This window comes from Homo sapiens, chromosome 1 (assembly GCF_000001405.40).
Source record: "Homo sapiens chromosome 1, GRCh38.p14 Primary Assembly".
NCBI classification, from domain to species: Eukaryota; Metazoa; Chordata; class Mammalia; order Primates; family Hominidae; genus Homo; species Homo sapiens.
Window position 1 is genome coordinate 157274633 of NC_000001.11, and position 9413 is coordinate 157284045.

Genomic DNA, 9413 nt, shown 5'->3' on the forward strand with positions numbered 1-9413 from the left:
ATTTTGTTCTTTTGGCCCTGGGGAAGGACTGGCTTCTGGTCCTTAATTATCCAGTCCCCCTGGAGGAAGGCTCATTGTTGTAGTAATAAGGCTGTTTTAGTGGGGGAGTATTGAGGTTGGATTGTAGGGATAATGAGGAGGAGGGAGGCAGGAGTGGAAGACAGGAAGGCTTCTTTTGTTGCATCATCAGACTTTTTGTTCCCTCTTGAGATTTTATCTGACCCTGTTTGATGTCCTTGACAGTGTATAACTCCCGCTTCAGTCGAGAGGTGTGTGGCCTGAAGGAGTTGGTAAGTAAGGGGGCTGTTAGTGATATGGGGCCTTTTGGCAGTGAGGAATCCTCTCTCTTGCCAGATGGCAGCATGGGAATGAAAAATGTGATATGCATATTTGGAGTCTGTGTAAATGTTGACTCATCTGTCTTTGGAAAGGGTTAGGGCTCTGGTGAGAGCTATGAGTTCTGTTTTTTGAGAGGAGGTTCCTGGAGGTAGGAGTTTAGCTTTAGTTACTCAGTCAAGGGAAACAATCACATACCCAGCAATTTTTGGGGAGCCAGTGGGCCCGGAAGAGGAGCCATTTATAAATAGCTGGTCATCGGGGTTGGTGAGAGGCTCGGAGGAAATGTTTGGAAAGTGTGGCTGTAGGTGATCCAGGATGTCAGTGCAAGAATGAGTAGGAGGGGAAGAGGATACGGGGAGTAAGGATGCTGGGTTGAGAGGAGCACTTTTGGCAAGACTTGAATTCAGGATTTTTGATAAAGAGGGCATGGAGTAATTGAATCCGGGAAGGAGGAAGGGAGCTTAATGCTTGGGAGGAAAGGAGATTTTGTAGATTATGAGGACTGTGGACGGTGGTATTTTGGCTGAATGTTAAGGAGCTGCTGTCCACAAACTAAGTAAAGGAAGTATTTAGAAGGCGTTGGTCTGTTAGGTTTGGAAAGGGTATAAGAAAGGTTTGAACAGTGTTTACACAGAAGTGTGCAGGGTCTTGACAGGTAGAAATTTCAGGTAAGAGCATGGCTGGGTTTAGACGAGAGCTGGTTAGCACGGTGATTTGGGGAGTTTTTATGAATAGAGCATACAGTTGGAGAAGCTGTGAGGGGGAGATGAAACTTAGTACACTGTGGTGAGTTAGCATGTTTTTGATGTTATGGGTTGAATAAACTGTTAGGTTGGCATGGAGAGATGGTTTTAGGCTTTTAAGGTGAGGACAGCAGCTGCTGCCAATGCTTGGAGACAGGCAGGCCGTTTGAGAACTGTGGCTTTAAGCTGTTTAGAGAGGTAGGCAACAACCTGGAGGATGGGTCCTTTAGACTGGGTTAGAACACCCAGTGTAACTTTATGCCATCCGTTGGTATAGAGGGAGAAAGGTTTGGTGAGGTCTGGGAGAGTGAGGATGGGGCTGAGGTGAGAGATTTTTGGAGGAGACAGAAAGGCTGGGTAATAGGCTATGCAGAGTTTAAAGGCTCATGGAGAGGGCCTTTAGTATCTTGGTATAACAGTTTGGCAAGTAGAGCAAAGGAGGGAAACTAGAGCCTAAAATATCCTGCTAGTCCTAGAAAAGAGAGAATTTCTTGTTTAGTTTGTGGAGGTGGGAGGGACTGGAGGAGGGATATGCGGTGGGTTGTGAGCCTTCAGGTTGGCACGGTAAGGGCTAGGCCTAGGTAGGTGACTGAGGGGGTGTATATTTGTGTTTTTTTAGGGGAGACCTAATACCTCTGTTCTGCTAAGAAGTTTGAAAGAGAGAGATAGTCTGGGCGTTGCAGTTTTTTTGAGAGGGGCTACACAGGAGCAGATTATTAACACATTGAGGGAGAATGGATGCTTTTAGGGATAAGGTACAGAGGTCGTGAGCAAGGGCCTGCCTAAAAAGATGGGAGCTGTCTCTGAAGCCTTGAGGTAGTACCCACCAGGTAAGCTGACGTGAAAGGTGGGTGTTGGGGTTTTTTAATGTAAAGGCAAGGAGGTTTTGGGAATCAGGGTGTAAAGGAATTGTGAAAAAAGCATCTTTTAGGCTTAGAATAGAAAAATGGGTGGTATTGGAGGGAATTGTGGAAAGTAAAGTGTATGGATTAGGAAATACTGGACATACTGGGAGTACAGCTTGGTTAATGAACCTGAGGTCCTGGAGTAAGCAATAAGTTTTATCTGGCTTTTTAACAGGTACAATTGGTGTGTTAAAAGGGCAGTCTGTTGGGTGGAGTAAGTGACTGGTGAGGAGGTGAGAAATGGTAAGCTTTAGGCCTATGAGAGCTGCTTGGGGGACGGAATACTGCTTTTGTGTCAGGAACTGGATGGGGTTAATTACAGATGGGGAATAAGGAAAGGTTGCATGTTTTAAGGTGGGAGGTTGGAGGAGTAGAAGAAAGTTGGAAATATTAGAGGGGTCTGGATGGCTGTGTTGGGTGTTGGGTACTACAGGGGATGTGGAAGTGGAGAGTAGTGTGGAGTTTTGAAAGGATGTTTCTGCCTAGGAGTGGAATTGGATATGAGGGCTGGACTGAGAAAGAGTGAGTGAAGGAAAAGGTGTGTAGGGAGCAGAAAAGTGGAGGGGTGGCTTGGGGTTTGGAGATTTGTCCATCATTTCCCACAACAGAGACTTGGGAGGACTGGGTGGGTCCTGAAAAATTAGGTAAAGCAGAATAGGTTGCCCTGGTATTCATTAAAAAATATACTGGCCTACTTGCCACCATCAGGGTTACCCTTGGCTCGGATGAAGAGATGGTAGTTGCCAGACTGTCCATTCCAGGGCACTGTTAGACTTCAGCGGCAAGGCCAATGAGTTCCTAGTAGGAGGTTTTGGCCGGCTCAGGAAGGGATGGGGGTGGTCCTTGTTGGGGCAGCTCACAGTCCAACTTCCAGTGGTGTCCTCCGCAGAGGGGGCACGGCCTGGTGGGCTTACCTGGGTATGGGCATTGTCTGGGCCAGTGGCCTTTATGACCGCATTTGAAACGGGAGTCAGGTGGAGGTGGATTATTAGGAGGCTTCCATGTAGAGCCGCGGCCCAGTGGCCTGCAGGGCCTCTGACGGCAGAGGCAAGCATTTGAAACTCTGCCTGTTTTTGTCCTTTACTTTCCTCATTATGATTGTTAAAAGGCATTGAAGGCTAAATTAAGAAGGTTTTGTTGTGGGGTTTGAGGGCCATTGTCAACCTTCTGAAGCTTGTGCCGAATATTGGGGAGTGGATTGGGAGATGAACTGAAGGTTTAAGATAGTGGTTCCTTTTGGGCTGGCTGGGTCTAGCCTGATATATAGGCTTACGGCTTTAGTTAAACGAGAGAGAAAAAGGGCTGGGTTTTTGTCAGGACTTTGGGTGATTTCTGAAAGTTTTTTTGTAGTTTACTGCTTTATGGGCACTCTTTTTGAGCCCTGCAAGCAGATATATAATTGTGTGGTCTTGATGGCAGTGCCCAGAGGCCTTGTTTGATCATTCCATTGTGGTTCCTGGTTGGGGACTGCCTCTGTGCTAGTAGGCTGGGTAGGAGCTTGGTGACGAATTGTATCAGTATGTGCCTGAGCTAGGGTTTAGAAACGGTTCTGCTTTTTTGGGGTGAGGGTGGAAGAGAGGATAACATAGAGGTTATGCTAAGTTAGTTTATAAGACTGGGTAAGGTACTGAAACTTTTTAATATAAGAGGTAGGGTTTTTTGGAAATGAACGGAGTCTTTTGTTAATTAGAGAGAGATTAGTGAGGGAGAAGGGAATTTTAACAATACCTTTAGCTCCTGCTGCTTCCTGAAGGGGAAGCAAGGGAGCTGGTTGCTGAGCATGTTGGGCCCAAGAGCAGGTGAGAGGCAGAGATGGAGAGGACTCAGAGTCGGAGGCAGGATGGTTGGAGAGAAGGGGAGAGAGAGAGCCTGAGCAGAGACATACAGCGGGGGATCATGCTGTTCCAGTGGAGGATTATGATGCTGTTAGGAAGGAGGAAAATCGGCGAGTCAAAGGAAGAGGAGTTGTCGGCTGGGGCTACTGGGTTGAGGGGAGCAGGGGGCGAGTGGGGTTTGGAGCGCATGAGGAGAATTCGAAAAGTAGAGCAGGATTGGCAGAGGGAAGGATGACTAAGGAGAGTAAAGAAAGCCTGAACATAAGGAATCTCAGACCACTTCCCATTGCGGTAGCAAAAGTTGTCTTAAGTCTCCGAGCACGTGGGAGTTGAAAGTGCCATTTTTGGGCCATTGAGAGCCACGGTCTAATTTGCATTGAGGCCATGCGGTATTGAAGTAAAAAATAAGCCTCTTAGGGCAGATTTCTGAACGGAGGCCGACAGCCTTGAGATTGCGAAGGAGACATCTAAGCTGGGTAGTTTTAGGAGTAGACTGAGAGGCTCTCATAGCGAATGGAGCGTGGTGGGCGGGGGTGGGTGGTAGAGGAAGAGACTTCTGGTGGTGACAAGGACGACGGGAGAGCTTGCCCGGAATAGAGGAGGTAACCGCCGTGTCGGGCGTCCCTGAAATGGAGGGACCAGAGAGAGGCCCGGAGGCCAGAGGAAGCCCTTGGCCCAGCGCTGGGGTTTTCGGAAACGGAGAGACGGACGGGTTCCGGGGAAGGGCAACAGTCTCTTTTTACTCACCCTGGCGGAGGTTTTGATGGTGGATGAGGTCGCCAGCAAAGGGAGAACCTAGGAGATTCTCTGGGTCTTCGGCAGGTTGGGGAAAGGTGAGAATGGCCAGGAGAGCGGTGATGGGGAGGGAGAGAGAGGAGAGAGTGAGTCCCGGCCAGAGTCTATCCCCTTCCGGGCTTTCGGCACCAGAATGTAAGGGCAGCCGAGGGAAGGAAGAATAGACCCAAAGTCAGGCGAGTAACTTTGTTGAACCAGCCGGGCTACTCCACCACACTCAGAGGAGGTAGCGCCAAGCTTACAGAATGAGGGGTTTATACTGGGGAGGGAGTTTGAGGGAGTTTTTTGGTACGGCCGCATCCTGGGGGTGTTTGCTGGTTAATTTTGCCAAATATCACCTGGTGACATTTATGATAGCAGGAACTTACAGGAGGGTAAAGTTTGTTTATGCTTCCCACGACCTCCCCCTGTGTGGTCCGGATAGTTTGTAATTGGGGTTTGCTCACAGCAGCGGGGTCTGATAAGTGAAGTTTGCTGGCTTCACCGCAAAGTTTGCTGGCACCCAGATAAGGGCTTAGAAATGTAAACAGGCTTGAGGGAAAGAGTGGGGCGGCATGGAAAGGAGTTGCAGAGTGGGGAGCGGAGGGCAGCACGGAGACATTTCAAGAAGCTTTTTGGGGGCAGTTTGTCCCTAACACCTGTATAAGGCACTTACCATGAATGGAGCTTGTAGGACTGGAAGTTGGTCTGAGAAGTGGGTGAGTCGTGAGTGAATGTGAAGACCTGGACATTACTGTACACTATTGTAGGCTTTATAAGCAGTGCATACTTAGGCTACACTCAATTTACTTTAAAGTATTTTTTTCTCAGTAATAAATTAACTGTAGCCTCCTGCAACTTTTTTACTTTTAATTCTTTAACTTTATAATTCTTTTATAACAACACAGCTTAAAATGCAAAAACATACAGCTATATACAGTATTTTCTCCTTTGTACATCCTTATTCTATATGCTATTTTCTATGTTAACATTTTTTACTTTTTAATATTTTTGTTAAAAACTAAGACACAAACATACTCATAACACAGAGTCAGGATCATCAATGACACTGTCATCCACCCGCACATCTTGACCCACTGAGAGTTCTTCAGAGGCAATAGCATGCATGGAGCTGTCATCTTCTAGGATCATAATGCCTTCTTCTGGAATACCTCTGGAGGATCTGCCTGAGGCTGCTTTACGGTTAATTTTTTAATAAGTAGGAGTATATTCTAACATAACAATAAAAATATAGTAAATACATAAACCAGTCACATAGCACTTTAGCATAATTATCGAGCATTCTGCACTGTACATAATTGTGTGTGCTATACTTTTATATGACTGGCAGTGCAATAGGTTTGCGTACAACAGCATCACCACAAACACATGGCTAATGCATTTTGCTAAGACATTGCAATGACTACAGCATCACTAGACAATAGGAATTATTTCAGCTCCATTGTCATTTTTTTTTTTTTTGAGACAAGGTCTTACTCTGAGAACCAGGCTGCAGTGCAGTGGCATGATCACGGATCACTACAGCCTCAAACTCTCAGGCTCTGGAGACTCTCCCCTCAGCCTCCCAAGTAGCTGGGACCACAGGCACCTACTACCATGCCCAGGTAATCTTTTGGATTATTTCTGTAGAGATGTGGTCTCCCTATGTTGCCCAGGCTGGTCTTGAACTCTTGGGCTGAAGCAATACTCCAACCTCGGCCTCCCAAAGTCTGGGATTACAGGCATGAGCCACCATGTGCAGCCAGCTTCATTATAGTCTTATGGGACTACCATTGTATATGTGGTCCATCATTGACTGAAACGTTGCTAAGTGGTTTATGACTGTAATTTATCCTTTTAATCACCTAAATAGTACACTACTATGTGGATAAACTATAACTGATTTAGCTAGTGTGATATGGTGGTCAAGAGCAAGAACTATAGGACCCAACTCCAATGCTTGAATCCCAGCTCTGCCACTTAGTAACTATGAGAATTTGGACAAGATTCTTAACTTATCAGTGTTGCAGTTTCCTGGCCATAATAATGATTTTGGCAGGCTAGAATTTGTGGCTCACTTGTTGAGGTCTTCTTTGCATATTTGTCATTAAAGGACAGCCAGGATAAAATGCACCCTGCCTCACTTCCCTGTGATAAGTGGTGTTGAGGAAGGTAGAGCAGGGAGAAGGGAGCAGGAGCAGGAAAACAGGAGGAGGATGTAGCTTTAAATGGAATGGGGAGGAAAGGACCAGGGTAGATCCCACTGAGAAGGGAGCATTCCTAAAAGACCTGAAAGAGGACAGGAAATGAGACAGGTAAACGCCTGGAAGAAGAGAATTCTAGACAGAATCAAAGGCCTTGAAGCAGGAGCATGCCTGGTCTGTTGAAGGAAATAGAAAAAACCCCAGTGTCTTAGAGTAGATTGAGGAAAGAGGGGAGCATGGGCTATGAGGTCAGATGGTGCAGGGCCTTGCAGGTGAAGTGGGAGCCACGGGAAAGTTCTGAGCTAAGGAATATGATAGAACTGATGTTTTGAAAATATCACTTGCCACTATTTTGAGAGTAAACATTAGGAGGCCAAAAATAGGCACAGGGATACTGTGGGGCTATGCAATAGTCCAGGTAAGAGACGAAGGTCATATGGTAAATAGTTATACTATAAATATATACATTGAATAAAAAATATTTTTTGCTAATGGAGAGTGGGGTGTGAGAAAAAGAACAAAGTCAAGGATGGCACCAAGATTTTGTGGCTGCAACAAATGGAGTAATAGAGATGACATTTATTGGGATGGGAAGACTGTATGGGAAGCGTGTTTGGGGAGTTTGAAAGCCAAGCTGGAGATTCCTGTTATACGTCCTAGTGGAGCTGTCAAGTAAGAAGTTAGATATTCACAATGTGGCATCCATAGGAGGGATCTGGCTGAAAATGACAGAGTAGCCAATGTTTTTAAAACCATGAGACAGTATGGCAGCTTTGTTAGTTTTCTGTTTCTGTCACAATAAATCAGCACTAATGTAGGCACTTAGAACAAAAGCGATTTATTATTTTACAATACTGGAGGTCAGAATTCTGGTACAAGTCTAATTGGAAAAAAGTCCTTGTGTCGCTGGGGTATGTTCCTTTTTGCTCATTCTGGCTATTGTTAGAATGTAGTTCTTTGTGGTTTTAAGATTGAGATCCTCATTTTCTTGCTGGATATAAACTGAGATCCTTTCTTAGCTTCTAGAGCCTACTGCATTTCCTTGACTTGAGGTCCCCTTACTCCATCTTCAAGGCCAAAAACAGTGGAACAAGTTTTCACCTTCTATGTCTCTGACTTACTTTTCTTCTTCTTCCAATTTTTAGGACTCATGTGATTATACTGAACTGACCCAGATAACCCAGGATAATTCACATCTCAAGACCCTTAAACTTGATGACGTCTGCAAAGTCCCTTTTGCCATAAGGTTATATTGGCATATGGTCCAGGAATTAGTGCAGAGCCACAATCTCAGAAAGAAAATGAGAGTGGATAATGAAGACAGATCATCTGGGTGTAAACCTGAGGATATTCCAGAATATAGAGGTTAGAGAGATAAGAAAGAAACTAGCAAGGAAACTAAGGAGCAGCCTCTAAGTAGAAGGAAAAGAATGGTGAGTTGTAATTGGAGGTGAAGACAGTTTCAAGGGAGGGTATGTTAATTGCTGCTGACACATCAAGGAAGATGAGGACTGAGCATTGACCATTGGATTTAGCAACATGGAGTTTTCTGCTGACCTGGACCTGAGCAGTTTTAATGGAGTGGTGGGGGCAATGCATGACAGAAGAGAATTCAAGACAGAAGGGACTTTTCCAAAAAAAAAAGGTATACAAATGGTTATTGTGCAACGTGGAAAGATGTTCACCAATATTAGTCATTTAGGAAATGAAAATCAAAAGCACAATGAGTTACCAGTTCACACTCACTCAGAAGGCAATAATCAAAGAAATGGACAATAGCAAGGGTTGGGAAGGATATGGAGATATTCTCCCACATTGCTGGTGGAATGTAAAAATGGTGAAGGTGAAGGTGGAAAAACGGAAATGAAGTATTGAGAGGGAGATGGAATATAAGAAGCTTTCTGACAGATAACCCAATGGAACAAACTGACTGACTGGGCATCTGAAATGAGTAAGAAGGAGTCAAAAATGAGCAAAATTATGCTTCTCTGTGGATGCAAATCATATCTCCATTACTTACACCCAGGAGAACTTGTATGAAGTAGTTAACTTCTCTGGATTTTAGCTTTTTCATGTGTACAATGGGGGGTTTATGCCTCATAGAGTTGTAGAAACTGCAAATGAGAGACTTATGAAAAGCCTACTGAATGACCTTATGAATAATAATATCATCAGTGGAAGGTGATTTGAGGATGTGATGCTGTTATCCCTGACATGGGCAGGAGGGAACTTGGACAAAGACCAAGGAAGAAAATATCTCTTCTCTGAATGTCTTGTCTGCATTTGAGTGCAATGTCCTTTATTCCGTGTCTTCCACCCAATCAGGGCCCTACTGCCACTTAAGGGGTAATTTCTCTTTCAATCATTAGTTGTTCCAGCACCAAGAAGCTTAGCCTCAGTTGAGGCACCTGAGTCAGGAGGCCAGGATCCTTGGGAGATTGACAACAGGAGGATAATCCCATCAGAATACTCCAGGATTCCAACAGTATCTTAGTCTATTTAGCTACTATAATAAAATACCTTAGATGTATAAATCACTGGGCAATTTGTATATAATAGAAATTTATTTCTCACAGTCTGGAGGCTGAGAAGTCCAATATCAAGGCACCAGTG

At 45.0% G+C, this 9413-nt stretch overlaps 2 long non-coding RNA genes across 5 annotated transcripts in view, besides 1 other annotated feature; one reads left to right on the top strand and one right to left on the bottom strand.

Annotated features, from left to right (window-relative positions):
• LOC105371456 (uncharacterized) overlaps nt 1–4781 on the bottom strand; it is a 54091-nt gene extending 49310 nt beyond the window's left edge. The window contains exon 1 of the long non-coding RNA XR_922183.3: nt 4570–4781. This is a non-coding gene — a long non-coding RNA (uncharacterized LOC105371456). The remainder of the gene's footprint in view (nt 1–4569) is intronic.
• Nucleotides 54–552: a transcriptional cis regulatory region, noted in NCBI's record as "candidate enhancer chr1.9249 targeted for multiplex CRISPR interference". NCBI's record gives its function as "positively regulates RRNAD1 gene expression with high confidence in K562 cells {active_cell/tissue: K562}" and the evidence as "EXISTENCE:mutant phenotype evidence [ECO:0000015][PMID:30612741]".
• LINC02772 (long intergenic non-protein coding RNA 2772) lies at nt 463–9334 on the top strand. Of its 4 annotated transcripts, none has more exons than NR_183766.1 (3): nt 463–1912; nt 6087–6221; nt 7946–9334. It is a non-coding gene; the product is annotated as a long intergenic non-protein coding RNA 2772 (long non-coding RNA). The 4 variants fall into 4 exon arrangements; NR_183768.1 differs by having other exon boundaries at nt 463–487; NR_183767.1 differs by lacking the exon at nt 6087–6221.
• Nucleotides 9335–9413: the final 79 nt, after the last annotated feature.